The sequence below is a fragment of the Homo sapiens genome, chromosome 22, assembly GCF_000001405.40.
Source record: "Homo sapiens chromosome 22, GRCh38.p14 Primary Assembly".
Taxonomy (NCBI): Eukaryota; Metazoa; Chordata; class Mammalia; order Primates; family Hominidae; genus Homo; species Homo sapiens.
In genome coordinates, this window is record NC_000022.11 from 20,456,774 (window position 1) to 20,477,006 (window position 20,233).

Below are 20,233 nucleotides of genomic sequence, written 5' to 3' on the forward strand. Positions count from 1 at the left end.
GATCCATTGAGGAGACACTAGCCCTGACCCCTGAAGTCAAAGTCTAAGTCCCTGGGGGAATTGGGGGTCATGAGAGATACTGGAAAGAGGCTTACAAAGGCCAGAGCTCTTGCTAAACTCCCTGAGGCAGTGCAGGTAGAACCTGCCCCCCATACCATCCTCTGCCTCTCAGGTGCTCGGTTATCCCCAAAGGTGTACCTGGCCCATAGCAGGTGCTCCACAAATGCTATGCCAGTACTAGCGGGGTGCCCTGCTAGGGTACCCCTAGTACTGCTAGGGTATGCCCTGTTCTCGGAGGCTGAGACCCAGGAAGTAGGGGGCCAGCAAGGCCTGTTCCTTCCCTGGGATCCCATGTCTGGTTGTTACACCAGGCCTGAGTACCCCAAAGTCGTAAGATAAAAGAGAGGCACCTCCCTAAAACATCATTTTTCCATAATGAACATAATTTTAAACATCTTCAAATTGGAATAAACCAAGGTATTATATAGGATGCACGTGATTTTTTTTTCAAGTTGTCCCAATATTCAAACATAGGATTTAATATAAAAAATAAAACCTTAGAGTGTTTCTTGGCTCTGGAAGGCGCCACCCTTCAGGGGACCTAGAGGGAAGAGGTCTGAGGATAGGCCAGTGAGCTCTCAGGGTCCCTTCCTGTTTAACATCTCTGGAAGTGTCCCAGCTCGTCTCAGCTGCACAAAGAGCAAATGTTCTATCCACATTTGAACTACAAGGTTTAAGCAGCTTGCCAGGGCCAAGGTGGTGTGACAAGGTCTCAGCATGTAAGACTCACAAGTGGGGCACAATTCTGAGCAATGGGGTCTGGATCCTTGATGAGCCTCCCCAGGTGGACTGGCTGAACCTCATGGGGCCTCATCAATGCATTCAATGCAGGGTCTCTGGAGAAGCATGGATTCTGCTCACTGAGCCTGTTTCTCTGACCTGGGACAGGCCTTGACACCTAGGCCTCTCACTCTTTGCACATCCTGGGGAAGGAAATTAGGCAGGAGAAGGCCCCTCTTCGAGGGCTTCCTTACCTCCCTCTTGAGTGGGGCCACGTATGCCCAGGAGTTGGTGGCAGGGTCGTAGCGCTCCACAGCATTCAGGTCATTGTGGTAGTCACGGCCCGCCACAGCGTAGATGTACCTGCCTACAACACACACGGACAGGTCGGCGTGCTCCTGCTGCAGGGACTGGATCTGGAACCAGCGGTTGTGCCGTGGGTCATACCTGTGCCGAGACATGAGGAAAGCACAGCACTGACTAGGCAGGGAGGCTGCTCCGCAGGCTTGCACCTCTTGTTCTGGTCCCATTTCTGCTTTGCCTCAGCCCAGCCTGAACCCTCCCCAACTACCCCACATACCAGTGCACACCGATCTACAGCCAGGCCCACAGGCTGTTACACACCTGAGCACAGGTGCTCCCCACCACACAGCATGGAAGGAATGGCCAGGAGCCTCCTGTGTTTCCACCTAACTGTCCACCTGGGCTGTCCAATGGCTCTTTTTTTTTTTTTTTTTTTTTTTTTGTGGAGAGAGGTCTCTCTGTCCCCTAGGCTGAAGTGCAGTGGCACAATCATGGCTCACTGTAGCCTCGACCTCCTGGGCTTAAGTGATCCTACCACCTCAGTCTCCTAAGTAGCTGGGACTACAGGTGCGCACCACAACGCCCGCTATTTTTTTTTTTTTTTTTTTTTTTGATAGAGACAAGGTCTTGACACCTGGGATATGGACTTAGGCAATCCTCCTGCCTCAGCCTCAATGGCTGTTCGTACAGCCACTTCCATCTCACTTACCTCATCTCATCATCCACATAGCCTTGCTCCCACTCAGGAGGGCCTCCAAATACAGCCTCTCCACTGGATGGGTGCCATCAGCCCCCTCATTGGCCTCCAAGCCTTGAACTTCCCCCAGCACTCCATCAGGAGTGGTCTTCTCAGGCACGCCCTGCACACAGCACCCATCATACCCTCAGCTTTGTCAACAGCCGCACACACAAGGCTCTGGTCATCGTACTTTCACCTCCTCCCACCATGCTGCCAGCCCCGCGTTTCCTGACCTCCCCTCCACTCAAGGTCTCCCTCTCTGGGAAAGTGGAAAGGGTTAACTCCCACCCTGGACTGCAGGCTCTGTAAGGGCAGGGTGTGTGAGATTCCAGGGACCCCCATGGGAGAAAAGGCACTAGACTGGTTGCGGCAGGCCCACGAGGGTGGAGGAGTCTGGCCAGGACCCAAGGAGGGCTCCTGGGCTGAGCACCAACAGGGAGCATGGCCTGCAATGTGGAGCAGAGATGATCACAGAGCCATGAGGGGCCAGGACCCAGTGAGCTCAAAGCCAGTATCTGAAGTGTCCTTGCCCAACAGCCCACAGATAGTTACAGCCTCTTTCAGACAAGTGTTTTTATTTCTGCAGAGGAAGACCTATTCCAAAGAGAACAAGTCTAACTTCAACTGGCTCACAAGAGAGTAACCAAAGTTTTCTTTGGCCTGTGCCCTATGCTGGTTAGTGAAAAGATCAGTTTCATCCTTTGCTTCCTGCAGCCCCTGCAGTGTGGCCAGCCCCTCCCCGCCGCCTACCAGGAATGCAGCAAACAGGAGCCTCAGAAGGCAGGGCCAACAAGAGAGGGAACACACACCTGGGTCTCCCTGACCTGGTGTGAATCCTGGGCTCTTCCCTGTCTAGCTGGGTGTGCCTGGGCATCAGTTTTAATCTCTTGGGATTCGCTCAGTTCTGCACCTGTCCAATGAGGTGATATCACCTGCCTAGAAAAGCTATCAAGAAGAATCATAAAAGACGAGCATGAAAAGTGTCCTTGTTAACTTGGGGGTTCTGATGGATCATGGTTCATTTCTATATTCCTAGACCTCAGTGTAGCCTCTGGCTCAGGACAGATTATGTTCTGTCTGCTGAATGAATTAAACAAAGGAGTAAGATTACCAGCAATGAATCATTCATTCACTCTACCAACATTCCCAGGTCTCCCACTGTGGATGGGGCACAGTGCTCAGCACTACATCCAGAGGGAGCCTCAAGAGGTCAGGGCCCTGCCTTCCCCTGCAGAATGGAAACAGGCTAACCAGAGCAAATGAGTGCTTAATATAATGACAGACACTGTGAAAGAAAGAAAGGGAGGTAAGAAGATGAGTGACCTGCTGGTCAGCGGGGCCTGGGGAGGGCAGAGCTCCCTTGCAGTGATCAGGAAAGGCCTCCTGAGAAGGCAGGGTCTGAGACCTGCATGACCTGGGGCACAAGCCAGAAGAAGGTCTGGCAGGGGACCAGCAGTCCAGGATTGGGGCACAGCACTCACAGGGGCCCCGTCAACTGGCTGGGATGGTGCTGTTCACTGCCTTTCCTGTGCGCCTTCCTCCTTTATATACAAGTCTCTCCTCTCTTGTGTTCAGTCTGGCTCAATCACCATCTGCACCCCAAGTGTCTGCAACCAGAGTGAGATAGGACCCTCCATGTGCTCCTGTTTGCTCCTTCGAGTCTATTGTCCTCACAGCTTTTTAAGCTGAGTTCATGTGGATTTGTGGCTTCAAATTTAAAGACACACACAGGGCCGGGCGTGGTGGCTCACGCCTGTAATCCCAGAACTTTGGGAGGCTGAGGCGGGTGGATCACGAGGTCAGGAGTTCAAGACCAGACTGTCCAATATGGTGAAACCCCGTCTCCACTAAAAATATAAAAAAATTAGCCAGGCATGGTGGTGTGTGGCTGTAGTTCCAGCTACTCGGGAGGCTGAGGCAGGAGAATCACTTGAACCCGGGAGGCAGAAGTTGCAGTGAGCTGAGATCATGCCATTGCACTCCAGCCTGGGCGACAGAGTGAAACTCCATCCCCCAAAAAAAAAAAAAAAAAAAAAAAAAAAAAAAAAAAAAGACACCAACAGTGATACCATATGTCAATAATTTAGACATAGCCAAAGTTACACTGATTTCTTATTTCCCTGTTGTGTCCTGTATCCCTCTTCTTCTTTATTGAATTAATTTTCTACTTTATGAGAATAAGTCCTCAAGTAATATTTTTCTAATAAAAATAAGCTTTATTTTTGCATATAAAGATATAAACAATTTTACTTATTGCTATGGACTAGATGTTTGGATTCCCCCAAAACCCCTATGTTGAAGGCCTAACCCCCATTGTGATGGTAGTGGGAGGCATGGCCTTTGGGAGGTGATCAGGTCATGAGGGTGGAGCCCCATGATGGGCTTAGTGCCCGAGGCTACAGCTCTTTCTCTCCACCATGTGAGAACACAGACGGAAAGGACCTTACCGGGACTAAACTGGCCAATACCATGATCTTGGACTTCCCAGTATCCAGACAGTGAGAAATAGAGGTATGTTGTTTAAGTCACTCCATCTATAGTATTTGTTATAGCAGCTGAAACTGACTAGGAGAGTCACTTTAACTCAGATTTGTATCATCCTATTGTAAACTCAGACATGAACCCTAGAGTTGGTACAAAAATATTCTGGAATTCTTGTTAAATTCATTAGACTGTGGCCAGGCACGGTGGCTCACGCCTGTAATCCCAGCACTTTGGGAGGCTAAGGCGGGAGGATCATGAGGTCAGGAGATCAAGACCATCCTGGCTAACACGGTGAAACCCCGTCTCTACTAAAAATACAAAAAATTAGCCAGGCGTGGTGGTGGGCGCTTGTAGTCCCACCTACTCGGGAGGCTGAGGCAGGAGAATGGTGTGAACCCAGGAGGTGGAGCTTGCAGTGAGCTGAGATCACGCCACTGCACTCCAGCCTGGGTGACAGAGAGACTCCAACTCAAAAAAAAAAAAAAAAAAAAAAAAATTCAGTAGACTGTTTTTCTTCTATATTTCCATGACTTAAGTATTTTCATGACTATTAATGTTTTAATGTCTATTAAATTTTTTAAATAAATTAAATGTACTGACCGGGCACGGTGGGTGGCTCATGCCTGTAATCCCAGCACTTTGGGAGGCTGAGGCAGGCGGATCACCTGAAGTCAGGAGTTCAAGACCAACTTGGTCAACATGGTGAAACTCCATCTCTACTAAAAATACAAAAAAATGGCCGGGCGTGGTGGCTCACACCTGTAATCCCAGCACTTTGGGAGGCCCAGGTGGGCAGATCACCTGAGGTCAGGAGTTCAAGACCAGCTTGGCCAACATGGTGAAACCCTATCTCTACTAAAAATACAAAATTAGCCAGGCATGGTGGCGTACACCGGTAATCTCAGCCACTCGGGAGGCTGAGGCAGGAGAATTGCTTGAACCTCAGAGGCGGAGGTTGTGGTGAGCCAAGATTGCACCATTGCACTCCAGCCTGGGCAGAAAACAGCGAGACTCCATCTCAAAACAAAAAAACAAAAAAACAAAAAAATTAGCTGGGCGTGGTGGTCGGCGCCTGTAATCCCAGCTATTCAGGAGGCTGAGGCAGGAGAATGGCTTGAACCCGGGAGGCAGAGGTTGCAGTGAGCCGAGATCGTGCCACTGCACTCCAGCCTGGGCGACAGAACGAGACTCTGTCTCAAAAAAAAAAAAAAAAAAATTAAATTTACTTTAAAATATTAGCAGCCATGAAATGCCGAAGGAAAAATTACATTATTATTTAAAAAATTTTTTTTAGAGACAGGGTCTCACTCTGTTGCCCAGGCTACAGTACAGGGGCATGATCATAGTTCACCGAAGTCTAAAACTCCTGGACTCAAGCGATCCTCCTGCCTCAGCCTTCCAAGTAGCCAGGGCTGCAAGCACGTACCATCAGGCCCAGCTAATTTTTTTTTTTTTTTTTTGGTAGAGACGAGGTCTCGCTTTGTTGCCCAGGCTGATCTTGAACTCCTGGGCTCAAAAGATCCTGCTGCCTCAGCATCCCAAAGTGCTGGGATTATTGACATGATCTGCACATAGCCTAAATTATTATTTTAAGTAGGGTCAGGGCACATAGCAACATGTAACCAGCTACTACTAGGTATACCATGTAGTTGGTGTTCAGTAATCCACAGGGCTATGGCTATGGGAAAGGTACAAGGAATGATGCAGATAATATAGATGCAAAGAAAGAAGGAATGAAAGAGAAAAAGTAGTATATTGGAGACAAACACCATTTGCTCCAAGAGAGGAAAGGTTTTTAAATATGCGGTTTCTGCACCAATGCTTTAAGATATAACCTGGTAAGTAATAACTCCTCAAAATGCAAAGCCTAATTTACTGCAAAATCTTGTTTCCTTATATTCTAAAAGCCTATAGCTTTTAGAATTCACCAGTTCTAAGGCTGATGAAATGAGAAAGCAGAGAAAGAACCAAATCTTAGAATATTCAAATTAAGGATTCATCTGGAAGTTTTGAGTCCACTGGAAGGTTAATGATGCCTTCATTCTGGAGAGATGATACATCCCTGGGTTAACCAGTAGGGCTGTGGTCCTTCCTGCCACCTCCACTCTGTGGATACCTACTCTCTCAAGGCAGGTCTTGCCGACCCCACTTGCCATTGTGATCCTACTCTCAGACAGGAGTTTGGGACTGGTTATTGGTTACAGGGTCTAATATTAGCATTACCCAGAGTTCAGCTTTGGTCTCACACCCCTTCACAAGGGGAAATTCAGACTCCTACTTTAAGTGAAAGTGAGATCAATGGCCCATAGCAGGTGGACAGAGGACAGGGGCAGGCAGAATCCCAAGCTGTCACCCCCCTAGGGACAGCTCTGTGGAAACATCCAGCATTACTGCCAAGCACACAGCTGTCTCTACCTTCTGCTAAGGGCCAGAAGCCAAAACACTCTGGAGAGATTGGCTTTGCAGGTCTGTAGGTTACTCTCAGCAGGGTGGTCTGGCCTTGGCCCCCCAACTGGGAAACCGAGCCCCCTAAAAAAGAAGGTTTAAGGTTTGGCCAAAGGGAAGTCTAAACCTAGTGTGGCCACACCCACTGGGGGCACAACTTTGTTTAGAGAGGAAATGAAGGTAGCTGTTTCCTTTTTTCTGAAACCTGCCCTTCCTCATATTTAACCACAATGTGTTATTGCCAACCTCTGAGTCTCATCAGCTTAACAAAGGAGATCACTTCCTGGGGCCAGCAGTAGAGAGGTCGCTGAGAAATGGCCTTCTCCTCCTTGGCCAGGATCACTATGCTTGATTCCAAGTGGCATGGCCAGGCCAGGCCCTACCCCACCCTGACCCCAGAAAATAGAAACATGAACATGAACTCAGTCAGCATCTAGCTCATGGCTGCTGGAAATAGTTGGCAATCTCTCTCTCTCCAACACAGCTCCATCTTTCAGCATGAAGGGTAGGGAGATTTCTCACATGCACCAAGGTAAGGTGGAGGGGTCCCTGGAAATCTAATGGTAGCTGAGTCTTGTGGGCCTGAACCACTGTCCCTTGCTCTGCCCAGAAATGGATTTGTGAGATCACAGCCTAAGTGACTGATGGAGCCAGGCGCATCCTACGGACCACAGCAGTCCACAAAACTCTCTCTTGGGAAAACTGCCTCTTCCCAGGGGAAATTGTGCCAAGTGCGTGGCAGACTGCAGGGCAGAGCGGAAATGTAGCATGAGGCTCGGTGATGCTTGTTGGCCTTTACCACGCCCCTGGGCTGAAGACCGCATGCTGCTCAGGCACAGCAGCAGGAAGCCTGTTCCACCATTAGCAAGCAGGTAAGAGAGAAGAGCAAAGCTGACTGGTGAAGGGAAACTGAAACAACATGCATCAAAGCTCAGAGAGAGCATGATGGAGGGCGAGGCTGCTCAGCTGGCACTGCTCCTAGGTCCTCTCCATCCCAGTCCGACTGCCTTTCCTGCTGTGGGCTCCTCTCCCCTCCCGTCTCCTCCTGCACAATGCACTCGCAACCTAGCCTACCCCAAAGAGGCTGAGCAAGGGTCCAGGGTAAGTGGGTTTCTGAGGAGTAGGGGACATGCAGGAAAGAAGGCGATCCACATGTCCCCTTCTCTTATCTCACTGCTGTCCACCTTCTCTGAATTCACCTAGACTTCATTCCACAATGGCAAGTGATGCTCATGTGAAAGGCTGGGGGGAACCTGACCAGCTCTCTCAGCCCATGACTTCCACACCCTCTCATCACCTGAAGACAAAGGGACCAGCTAGCACCCTGTCCTACCTCCAGCATCGGGACTCTGCTCGAAATCCTTGGACATTGTTGTCCCCTCCAATCAAGTATACGAAGTTGTTGAGCACCGCGATGCCCTGGTTGGACATGCGGGGGGCCAGGGAGGCAGTGAAGTGCTTCCACTCTCCCAGTAAGGGGTTTAGATACTTGGCCTGGTCGCTGAGGACAGTGGACGGCGTGGAGTGAATGCCCCCGAAGCCCACAACGCACTGGAAGTCCGACCGCAGCTCCGTTTGCGGGCTCTGCAGGCTGGGCTGTAGGCTCTCGTTCCGGTGGTACATGAGGGCGCTGGCCACTGTGTCCCTCAAAGGGCTGGGGTCCAGCTTGTCATGCAGCCGCTGCAGGACCTCAGCTTCCATCAGCGGAAACCGCACTGTCTCAAGGAGCTTTGGGGGCTCGTGCAGCGAGATCTGGTCAGCCTGCACCTGCTCCAGGCTATAATGGTAGAGAAGGGCCCCCTCATATACCTCGGTCTCGCAGGAGACCTCCAGGCGATTGCTGCTGAGGAGGGAGTAGACCTTCTCCAATGGAAGCTGGCGGTACTTGTCAGTCCGAGAGAAGGCCACAAAGTTTTTGAGGATATAGGTGTCCAGTTGCTCAGTCAGGCGGCTCAAGTCAAACAGCTCTGCCAGCCGGTAGACATCGAGAATGTTCTCTTCGTCCACCCAGGACATGAGGAAATCACAGCAGAAATGGATAATTTCTGGGATCTGCAGAGAGAATGACACCCATTCAAGCCTGGGCTGGTGAACAGCATCTGGGGGTGGGAGAGAGAATGATGGCAGAAATACGGGCTGTTGTGGGCCAGGCAAAGCAGAAGGGAAGTCCTCCTTAATTGTCCCCGACCTTTTCTGACACACTGGAGACTGGGGCTTACTGCAGACTAGGTTTAAGTCCTGGTTTGGAAACATACTGGGTGACAGGATATACAGCATGTTTTTTTTTGGTTTTGTTTTGCTTTTCTTTGAGACAAAGTTTCGCTCTTGTTGCCCAGAATGGAGTGCAGTGGCAGAATCTCGGCTCACTAACACCTCCCCCTCCCGGGTTGAAATGATTCTCCTGCCTCAGCCTCCCGTACAGAATGTTTTTAACCTCTCTAAGCCTCAGTCTCCTCATCTATAAAACGGGGATCATTAAAGTGAAGAGGAACATGATGAAAATGAGAGAGCACATAGGAGTGGACCCTTGATATATGTCAGTTCCCTCTTAGATCAAAAGTACTGGCTCGGCCGGGTGCGGTGGCTCATGCCTATAATCCCAGCACTTTGGGAGGACAAGGTGGGTGTATCACGAGGTCAGGAGTTTGAGACCAGCCTGACCAACATGGTGAAACACCGTCTCTACTAGAAATACAAAAATTAGCTGGGCGTGGTGGCGCGCGCCTGTAATCCCAGCTACTCAGGAGGCTGAGGCAGGAGAATCGCTGGAACCCAGGAGGCGGAGGTTGCAGTGAGCCGAGATCGCGCCATTGCACTCCAACCTGGGTGACAGAGCGAGACTCCGTCTAAAAAAAAAAAAAAAAAAAAAAAAAGAAGTACTGGCTCTCCAGAAAAGCAGGAAGCAGCACAAATGGTCACTGTGTCATATATCTGTGGTTTGGAAAGGACCTAAGACCATCCCCATCCCTACCCTAGGATTCTCTGGAAGAGCCTGCCTCTCCAAAAGCGCTGGGACCAGAAACAAACCTGGCTTTTTCCCCCGCCAGAACATCCACCCTGGTTCCCTAGAAGTGCTCAGAGCCTCTCAGACACCTAACCAATACCCACCCAGGAACCTGATTTAGAATTATTTTTCTTTTTTCTTTTTAAAATTTGAGACAGGGTCTTGCTCTGTTGCCCAGGCTGCAGTGCCATGGCAAGATCATAGCTCACCGAAGTCTCAAGCTTCTGGGCTCAAGTGATCCCTGACTCAGGGTTCTTGAGGTTCCCAGCTGGGTCAAGACCCACTTGACTCCAGTAAGTGCAGGGGCTCCCAGGTGGCCATATCAACCCTTCCCAGCCATGGGGAAGCACTAGTGGTTTGAAAGGACGGCAAGAGAGAGAATGACACTGGAGGGAGGTGGGAACAAGGCCACAACCAGCAGGCTGTTAAAGGCCACCCTGTGAACAGACAACCAAATCTTGGGAGAATAGGAGACAAAGGGAAGGGCCCTAGGGAAAACTGCCTGGGAGAACAAACCAGGTGTTGATAAATTATTTAGGAAAGCAGGATTTTAGAGTTTCAGTGGGGCCCCCCAGTGCCCACCTCCTTTCTTTCCATGTTCAGATTGAAAATGACGAGTACCTTGACCTCTCTGTGACCCAGACAGCTGCAGGTTCTCCCAGCAGGCTTGAACCCAAACCAGGCCCTTGAACATTCCCAGGCACTGATAAAGGCATCAAGGTTGTTACCCAAAACACTGAAGGAAAAACTGGTTCTGGCCCTGAGACAAATTCCTTAAACCCTCATAGAAACTCCATACACTAACCCACTCTGTGGGCAAGCCTGGGTAAAGCCTCTCTTTTCCCTTGTCTGTCTTGAGGACATGCTACATCACTCTATACATAAGTTCCCCTAATAAACGCTCTGGCCAGATCACCCTGGTGTTTGATGCTTCTTTCTTTGGAATCCCAAAACGGCTCCATTTCAGGATGCTGTGGGGTCCCCTCTTGTGGGAACCCCCTTGCTACCAACTCCAGCCATGTGTTCAATGCAATAAATCAGTTTCTCTAAAAATGGGAATACCTGGCTTATCCAGGATCATCAATAAATTAACCATTACACATGGAATAATTCTGCTGGTATTTATGTATTTATTTATTTATTATTTTGAGATGGGGTCTCACTCTGTTGCCCAGGCTGGAGTGCAGTGGCACGATCTCGGCTCACTGCAAGCTCCGCCTCCCGGGTTCACGCCATTCTCCCACCTCAGCCTCCCAAGTAGCTGGGACAACAGACGCCCGCCACCACGCCCGGCTAATTTTTTGTATTTTTAGTAGAGACGGGGTTTCATCGTGTTAGCCAGGATGGTCTCGATCTCCTGACCTCGTGATCTGCCCGCCTAGGCCTCCCAAAGTGCTGGGATTACAGGCGTGAGCCACGGCGCCCGGCCAAGGTATTTAAAGCTTATCAATAAACACTAACTATAACTTTTTTAAAATTCAAAAGACATCTAATATTGCTTGCAAGGTGACATGCTAAGAGCTGGATGAGACCTACCAAATGTCAGGCAGGTATGTGCCCTACATGAGGTATCCCCATGGTGCTTTGCTAGGCCCTGACCAGCTTCACTTGACCTTCTTTTTTCCCTTTTTGCCAGTCTTCTGCTTTGCCACTTCTTCCCAAACTACTAGGTTTTCCTAAAATTCTGGTTTGTCATGGGCCAGGGTCCTGAAGACCAAGTTTTGGGCAGAATGTGAGCACAAACAGCCCTGAAGAAGCCTGGGCAGCAGCAGCTCCTTGAGAGGACCCTGCTGACTCTCCTTTCAGTCCTATTTTTAGAGCAGTGGGCCTTCTGTTCAGTGAAATCTCACAGAGGAACCAGCCTGGGCTCAGGATGTGCAAAAGCCCCATACGAGGCTCACAGAAGGGACTGCATTTGCTTGGGGTAACCCAATAGGACAGTGTTACTGGGAATCAGACTCAGGCCTCTGGGGACACCGTGAAGAATCTGGTCCCAGGCCTACTGCAGGGCACAACACATGGGGGAAGCCTCCAAAAGTCACTAGCTATGTGAACATACATGATTCTACAGGCCTATGGACTTGACATGGTTATGCCAAGTAAAACCTGCTATAAAACAATATTGTGAAGAAGCCTGTTTTTTTTTGTTTGTTTGTTTTTTGTTTTGAGATAAGCTGGCATGTAGTGGTGTGGTGATCACAGCTTACTGAAGCCTCCACCTCCTGGGCTCAAGTGATTCTCCCACCTCAGCCTCCCGAGTAGCTGGAACTACAGGTGCATGCCACCATGCCCGGCTATTTTTAAAGTGCTTCTGTAGAGGTCTCGCTTTGTTGCCCAGGCTGATCTCAAACTCCTGGCCTCAAGCAATCCTCTCACCTTGGCCTCCAAAAGTGCTGGGATTACAGGCATGAACCTCCAAGCCTGGCCCAGAAGCCTGATATGTTAAAAAACTAAGATAGGCTGCTGCCTCTGAGATGACCTCTGAGGCACTGGGGGAGATGACCCAGGGCTGTCGGGAGCACTGGCCAAACCAACAGAGAGAGACTGCAGGCCTCCAAGCTGACTGGTGAGAGAGGGAAAGTGATGTTAGAAAGATGATCTGGTTTCAGTGTGTGTGATCACTGCAGGGAGAAGAAAGAAATGGCAGAAACATACAGATGGAGGCCAGGCAAAAGGGAAGGAAATGGAAACACAGAACAGAGATGGCTACAAGCAATACCGAGAAGGATGACCTGTCCTCACATGGACGCAGGGAATTAAGAAGGTGGACGGGCTCAAGGAGCCACTGAGGTTGAGCCCAGGGAACTGGCAGGATGGTCACAGGACACACAGAGCAGGGGGACTGACAGGGGAGCTCCGGGAGAGTGGCAGGTGTGGAGGAGGAGATAGGACAGCTGGACCTGAGCCATGCTGGGGGAGATGTTTCAGAGGCAGCTGAATCAGGAGTTAACTGCTGCCAGGGTGGAGAATTGGATGAGGGTTCCCAAAGCAACAATGACAGGGATGTGGGGACAGAAGAGATCTCTAAATAAAAGAACAGGGGGAAATTCTTTTGTTGTAAAAGCCAACTCCATCTACTCACCATGCAGGTATGGTGAGACAAGTCAGTCATCTCAGATCAACCCACCCAGCATCCAGGTCCTATCCACCAATCTGAGAACAGGGCACAGGGAGGCTGCCAGGGCCCTGTCACATGGGGTGGCACCTCCACATGCCCCCGAACAGGTTGGTTTTCCTGTGACTTGAGTTGTTTTTTTTTAATTGCGTCAAACCTGCTCTCATGGGAAGAAAGGTCAGAATGATGAACTTAGCATAGCATTTTGTTTCACTTTTAAGAAATGTGGGAAGAGGTGACTGTCAACTCCTATCAGGCCTCTGCCTGATAGCTCAAAGGCACCTGCAGGCCCAGTCCCGTGTAACTGCACCCACACCACTGAGAATAATCATCCAAAACATAAGTCACACTGTCAAAGCCTCAGAAAACTTTTTGAATTCTGCAGGAAAACAAGTACTTAAAGTTCAATAACAGGTTGGGTACAGAGGCTCACACCTGTAATCCCAGAACTTTGGGAAGCCAAGGTGGGAGTATCACCTGAGGCCAGGAGCTTGAGACCAGCCTGGGCAACATAACAAGGCCCCATTCCTATAAAAAAATATATATATATATAATATCAGCTAGGCACAATGGCACGCATCTTTAGTCCCAGCTACTCAGAAGGCTGAGGCGGGAGGACCACTTGAGCCTAGGAGGTGGAGGCTACAGTGAACTATGATCATGCCATTGCATTACAGCCTGGGTAACAGAGTGAGACCCTGTCTTTAAAAAAAAAAAAAAAATAGGCCAGGCGCAGTGGCTCACACCTGTAATCGCAACACTTTGGAAGGCTGAGGTGGATCACTTGAGGCCAGGGGTTCAAGACTAGCCTAAGCAACAAAGCAAGCCTCTATCTCTATAAAAATAATTTAAAAATTAGCCAGGTGTAGTGGCACATGCCTATAGGTCCTAGCTATTTGGGAGGCTGAGGCAGAAGGATTGCTGGAGCCCAGGAGGTTGAGGCTGCAGTGAGCTGTGATCGTGCCACTGCACTCCAGCCTGGGCAAGAGAGAGAGAGCTTGTCTCCAATAAATTGAATGAGTGGATGGATGGATGGGTGGATGGATGGATGGATGGATGGATGGATGGATGCATGCATGGATGGATGGATGGATGGATGGATGCCTGCCACCATGGATGGATGCATGCATGGATGGATGGATAGATGGATGGATGGATGGATGGATGGATGGATGGATGGATGGATGCATGCATGCATGGATGGATGGATGGATGCGTGCATGCATGGATGGATGGATGGATGGACAGACAAATAGATAGATAAAGTTCAGTAACAAAACACATAAGTTTTCAAGAGACTGAAGTGGCCCAGTGAGGGGACAGGCAGGAAGGGCCCTGGCAGCAATGCTGGTGGATGCTCCCCATTGCCAGACCCCAGAGCACACAGGACGTCCACATGCAGCCTCGGGTCAGCCTACCTGCTTATGTGCAGGATGCTTTCAATGACAGGGAGACTCAGACAGTGGGGAAACAACCAGCAATAGAGAAGAGGGCAAAGGCAGAGGCCTGGGGTGTCTAGAGCGGCTCTGCTTGAGCTCCAGGAACAACTCCAGAGTCTTCCCCACTTCATGGCCTTCGTCACTGCTTGGTCTCCTCACATTCCTGACCCATCTTCAAGCCAATGCTAGTGCCCGGCAGGCATCATGGGCATCTCAGGGAACCCCACCTGGGTGTGGGTCTGCCTTGCTAGATGAGACATGCCTCACCTGAAGCTGGCAGGCAGCCACCAGTGTCTCTTGTACATTGCTCAGGCTGAGCTCCAGCTCGGAGGTGTATATGAAATGTAGGATTTGGCACATAGCATTGTAGGACACACCGTGGATCAGGACCTCTTCCTGTTCCATCTCCTTCAATCCCCCAGCAAACATTCCTCTGCAAAGTGAAGACACAAGAAAATGGAGTTATACCAACAGGGACTTAAGCCCATGTTGCCAAGAGTGACAGCATTCAGAGAAGAACCTGGCGCTGGTGGCAGGGCCCTGGTAGTGGGCTGACCCACTCTGTGCTCTGAGTGAACTGTGTGCATGCATGAGCCATCCCACAAAAGGATCCTGACGAAGTCTGGGCAGCCATCCTGGAAATTGTCCTGTTTCCCTTTTCATGGGCCCAAGGAGTCCCATGTGAGCTTCGGGAGGTGAGGCCACAAGCAGCTTGCTTCTGCTGTGTTCATCAGTGCAGTTCCTGGATCGGAGCAGTAGCAACTCCAGAGCACATTTCAAAGCAATGAATTAATTAATGGGAAACTAATAAAAGTCATTTCATTCAATGTATATTTATGGAGTTCCTACCAAATGCCAAGTATCATTCAAAGAGCAGAAGGAGGCCAGGCACGGTGACTCACACCTGTAATCCCAGCACTTTGGGAGGCCAAGGCAGGCAAATCACTTCAGGTCAGGAATTCGAGACCAGCCTGGCCCACATGGTGAAACCGCGTCTCTACTAAAAATACAAATATTAGCCGGGCATGATGTTGTGCATCTGTAGTCCCAGCTACTTTGGTGGCTGCGGCACAAGAATTGATTGAACCTGGGAGACGGAGGGTGCCATGAGCCAAGATTGCACCACTGCACTCCAGCCTGGGCAACAAAGCAAGACTGTCTCAAAAAGCAAAACAAAACAAAAAACAAAGAGCAAAAGGAGTTATAGTGAAGTAAACTGGTAAAATAGCTGGGCGCGGTGGCTCACGCCTCTAATCCCAACCCTCTGGGAGGCCAAGGCAGGCAGATCCCTTGAGCCTAGGAGTTCAAGACCAGCCTAGGCAACACGGTGAAATCCTGTCTCTACAAAAATTACAAAAATTGGCCGGGCGTGGTGGCTCACGCCTATAATCTCAGCACTTTGGGAGGGCAAGGCGGGCAGATCACCTGAGGTCAGGAGTTCAAGACCAGCCTGGCCAACATGGTGAAACCCCGTCTCTACTAAAAATACAAAAATTAGCTGGGTGTGGTGGCGGGCGCCTATCATCCCAGCTACTCAGGAGGCTGAGGCAGGAGAATCGCTTGAACCCGGGAGGCGGAGGTTGCAGTGAGCCGAGATCACACCACTGCGATCCAGCCTGGGTGACACAGCAAGACTCTGTCTCAAAAAACATATATACATATATAAATAAATGCTAAGAAGGAACCCAGCAGGGCATCTGACCTGAGAGTCACTGGTTAGAAGAGGGGTAGGTGGAATGATGAGAAGGAGCAGGGAAAGCCCCATCTGAGGAACTGAGACCTAAGGATAAGGCTGAGAGGGTGTAGGCAGCCGGGGAGGGAGTTCCAGGTGAAGGAGACAGGTGTACAAGTTCTGGGGCAAGGCAGAGCTTGGCATGCAAGGCAGCCAAGATGATGACGAAGTGAGCAGAAAGTGGGATGGGCAGGCAGGCCTTGGAGCCAGGTCCCCCTACCTCTAGGGTAGGTACAGTCCAGATTGAAATCTGAGCATTATGGGATGCTCTTGAGGAATTTACCCACAGAGTGATGTGAACTGACTGGCTTTCCGACTCAGGTGCTGGAGGAGGAGCCCCTGGAAGACCAATTAGGCCTGAGATTCCTGTGGGCCTGGAGGCCAAGGGTGACCCTGGCCCTGGGGAGGGCATTGCAGCTAGAAAGCAGTAGCTGAGACTACCCTGGGACACGGCACAGAGAACCTACTGACAGACTGAATCTAGGAGGACCTGGGAGGACTCAAGGCCCTCTGCTGGGCCGAAGAGGACCCTTTACTGATGGAAGAAAATCTGGACAGCTGGGAGTCCCGTGATTGTGTGATCAGTGTGAGATACCTGTGAAACCTCCAAGTGTAGACACTGATTAGGTGTTTGGAGGTAAGAGGCTGGCAACTGGGGCTGAAGTTTAAATATGACAGCAACATGAAGATTATAAGAGAAGCTATTTTTACATTTTATTTATTTTTTTGACTAGGTAATACATATACATGCTACCAGATTTAAAATACAGTATAGGTTAGGCCGGGCACAGTGGCTCACGCCTGTAATCCCAGGACTTTGGGAGGCCGAGGCAGGCCGATCATCTGAGGTTGGGAGTTCGACACCAGCCTGACCAACATGGAGAAACCCCATCTCTACCAAAAATACAAAATTAGCTGGTCATGGTGGCACATGCCTGTAATCCCAGCTACTCAGGAGGCTGAGGCAGGAGAATTGCTTGAACCCAAGAGGCGGAGGTTGCAGTGGGCCAAGATCGTGCCATTGCACTCCAGCCTGGGCAACAAGAGTGAAACTCTGTCACACACACAAAAAAAATACAGTATAGGTTGTGGTGAAAGTCCCCTTGCCTCTGCTCCCAGACCATCAGTCAGTTCCCCTCCCAGGGCCACACTATCCTCAGGGCAGTCATATTCCACATCTCACTTGGCTTTTTTCTTTTTTTTGAGACGAAGTCTCACTCTGTTGCCTGGGCTGGAGTGCAGTGGTGCGATCTTGGCTCAGTGCAACCTCCGCCTCCTGAGTTCAACTGATTCTCCTGCCTTGGCCTCCCAAGTAGCTGGGACTACAGGTGCCCCCCACCACGCCCAGCTAATTTTTTGTATTTTTAGTAGAGACCGGGTTTCACCGTGTTAGCCAGAATGGTCTTGATCTCCTGACCTCGTGATCTGCCTGCCTCGGCCTCCCAAAGGGCTGGGATTACAGGCGTGAGCCACTGCACCCAGCCCGGTTTTTACTTAACAATATAGCTTGGAGACTGATCCATGCCCATGTACGCAAGACTGCCTCACTCTTTGCAAAGGCTGTCTCACTTTTTTTATTTTATTTTATTTTTTTAAGATGGAGTTTCGCTCTTGTCGCCCAGGCTGGAGAGCAATGGTGCAATCTCGGCTCACTGCAACCTCCGCCTCCCGGGTTCAAGCAATTCTCCAAACTCAGCCTCCCGGGTAGCTGGGATTACAGTCCTGCGCCACCATGCCCGGCTAATTTTTGTATTTTTAGTAGAGATGGGGTTTCACCACGTTGGCCAGGCTGGTCTCAAACTCCTGACCTCAGGTGATCCACCCGCCTCAGCCTCCCACAGTGCTGGGATTACAGGCATGAGCCACCGCGCCCAGCCAGCTGTCTCACTTCTTTAACCCATTTCTACAGGGGTATATTTAGGTTACTTGTAATTTCCAGTTATTTCACATGATGAACATCCTCACCCTTACAACATGCTGAGTATGCATATGCCAGGATTAAGTCCCACAAATACAGTTGCTGGGTCGAAGGGTTTACATACATTTATACTTTGATAGTATTGTCAAGTTGCTGTTTTTATATCATTCCTGATAGCAGGGCCTGGTGCCTGCACCCTCTACCCCCAACCCAGGAAGACACCAGCTCTAACTCACCACCACAAAAGGGAAAAACCTTATCACATAAGGTACAGAAAATCTCCTTATATGTTAAAGAGCCATTTCCATTTTCTTTTCTGAACAGTTCAGATTCTTAGTCAGTTTTCTGTTAGACTGTCTTATCAATTTGAAGAAATCTGCCCTTTCTTTGATGAGGAGTTTCCCCGATCTTTTGATTTTGTATTGCTTTTTTGCCATGCAGAAATTTGTCTTTTTTTTTTTTTTTTTTAAACAAGTCTAGTCAACTGCAGTAGTGAGAAGGTGAAAAAGTAGAACCTGGAGTTGGATCTGTGACTGTGAACAATCAACTGAGGTAACTCACACTACCTTCGGACCAACCTATCTTCGTTTTCAATGTTGTCAAATTTACCATTTACTTGCCTCTGAGTTTTGTGTCAAACTTAGAAAGGCTTTTTCTTTCTGAGATTATTCAGAAAACATTTCCGATATTTTCCTCTAGTGTTTTTATTATTGAATCTTTCACATTTAAAACTGTTGATCCACCTGTAATTTATTTTGGTATAAGGTATGAAGCAAGGGTCCAACTTTGTTTTTCTAGATGGCAACTCTGTCGTCTTCCCTCCTTCCTCTAATTTTTTTTTTTTTTTAAGACGAAGTCTCACTCTGTTGCCCAAGCTGGAGTGCAGCAGCGCGATCTCGGCTCACCACAACCTCCACTTCCCGGGTTCAGGAGATTCTCCTGCCTCCCAGCCTCCCGAGTGGCTGGGATTACAGGCATGTACCACCACACCCGGCTAATTTTGTATTTTCAGTAGAGATGGGGTTATCACTATGTTGGCCAGGCTGGTCTTGAACTCCTGACCTTGTAATCCGCCTGCCTTGGGCTCCCAAAGTGCTGGGATTACAGGCGTGAGTCACCGCACCCAGCCCCTTCCTCTAATTTTTGAGGCTATCTTTATCACATAGGACAGGAATAGTCTCCTTTCGTTACTTTTGTTTTCGACAATTTCCTGGCCACTGCTAGCTTTTTACATTTGAATTTTAGAATCAAGTTTCTGTAATTGCCCCAAATAAACCCTCTTGGTATTTTAGGGGGTTATGTTAAACATCTAGGTTAATGTAGAGATAAATAGCATTTTTATAATGGACACAGTGGATCTTTTTAACTGTCCAGCCATCCTCTGGGTCCATTTGGAAGTCTTATAAGTCATCTTCCTACAGATCTGGCACATATTTGTTACATTTATTCCCAGACATTTCACTCCATGCATGGCCAAGCCCTCGGGGCACTTTCCCATGCTCTTTACAGTGGTCTGTCTGGCTCTCCTGGACTTTCCAGGACTGTGCTCGTGCATGTACTTCTGTCTGATTCTTCTGCTGGCACCTCTGGGACTATATTGGCAGCAGTGGAGATGGCAACATTTCAAGCACTGCCCGCCCTGAGCAGGGTGTGGGTGCTTGGATTGACACAGATTTTTTTTTTTTTTTTTTTTTTTTTTTGAGACGAAGTCTTGCTGTTGCCCAGGCTGGAGTGCAGTGGCGCGATCTCGGCTCACTGCAGGTTCCGCCCCCCGGGGTTCACACCATTCTCCTGCCTCAGCCTCCCGAGTAGCTGGGACTACAGGTGCCCGCCACGTCGCCCGGCTAATTTTTTGTATTTTTAGTAGAGACGGGGTTTCACCATGTTAGCCAGGATGGTCTCGATCTCCTGACCTCATGATCCGCCCGCCTCGGCCTCCCAAAGTGCTGGTATTACAGGCGTGAGCCACCACGCCCGGCCTTTTTTTTTTTTTGTGACAGAGTCTCGCTCTTGTTGCCCAGGCTGGAGTGCAATGGCGCAATCTCGGCTCACTGCAACCTCCGCCTACCACGTTCAAGCGATTCTCCTGCCTCAGCCTCCCAAGTAGCTGGAATTATAGGCATGTGCCACCACGCCTGGCTATTTTGTATTTTTAGTAGAGACAGGGTTTCACCATGTTGGTCAGACTGGTCTCGAACTCCTGACCTGATGTGATCCACCCACCTCGGCCTCCCATAGTGCTGGATTACAGGTGTGAGCCACCACGTCTGGCCG

The 20,233-nt window shown here is 49.6% G+C and overlaps 1 protein-coding gene, 1 long non-coding RNA gene and 1 pseudogene across 12 annotated transcripts in view, besides 2 other annotated features; 1 reads left to right on the forward strand and 2 right to left on the reverse strand.

Annotated features, from left to right (window-relative positions):
* The window catches only part of KLHL22 (kelch like family member 22), a 54,277-nt gene that overhangs the window by 15,255 nt on the left and 18,789 nt on the right, over positions 1-20,233 (reverse strand). For 6 of the 11 annotated variants that reach the window (XR_001755341.3, XM_017029025.2, XM_017029021.3 and 3 more), the window contains 3 exons: positions 14,577-14,742; positions 8,085-8,803; positions 1,035-1,227 (listed from right to left, as the gene is read on the reverse strand). Coding sequence is in view for 9 of the 11 variants with exons in the window: in XM_017029021.3 (XP_016884510.1) it covers positions 1,035-1,227; positions 8,085-8,803; positions 14,577-14,742 (1,078 nt within the window). In the remaining 2 variants the exon portion in view is untranslated. The remainder of the gene's footprint in view (positions 1-1,034; positions 1,228-8,084; positions 8,804-14,576; positions 14,743-20,233) is intronic. The other 5 variants (NR_033825.2, XM_017029018.3, XM_017029022.2 and 2 more) reach the window with 1 other exon arrangement.
* Positions 2,957-3,155: a silencer, noted in NCBI's record as "fragment chr22:20814017-20814215 (GRCh37/hg19 assembly coordinates)". NCBI's record gives its function as "represses an EF-1alpha promoter that drives an FKBP-Casp9 reporter gene in an ReSE screen in phorbol 12-myristate 13-acetate-treated (for megakaryocytic differentiation) K562 erythroleukemia cells {active_cell/tissue: K562(+PMA)}" and the evidence as "EXISTENCE:reporter gene assay evidence [ECO:0000049][PMID:32094911]".
* Positions 4,202-18,511, forward strand: LOC124905085 (uncharacterized). Its single transcript, XR_007068014.1, has 3 exons — positions 4,202-4,333; positions 16,363-16,678; positions 18,435-18,511. It is a non-coding gene; the product is annotated as an uncharacterized LOC124905085 (long non-coding RNA).
* Positions 7,453-7,642: an enhancer, noted in NCBI's record as "active region_18678". NCBI's record gives its function as "activates an Ori minimal core promoter by ATAC-STARR-seq in GM12878 lymphoblastoid cells {active_cell/tissue: GM12878}" and the evidence as "EXISTENCE:reporter gene assay evidence [ECO:0000049][PMID:35858748]".
* Positions 18,421-18,538, reverse strand: RNY1P9 (RNY1 pseudogene 9; annotated as a pseudogene).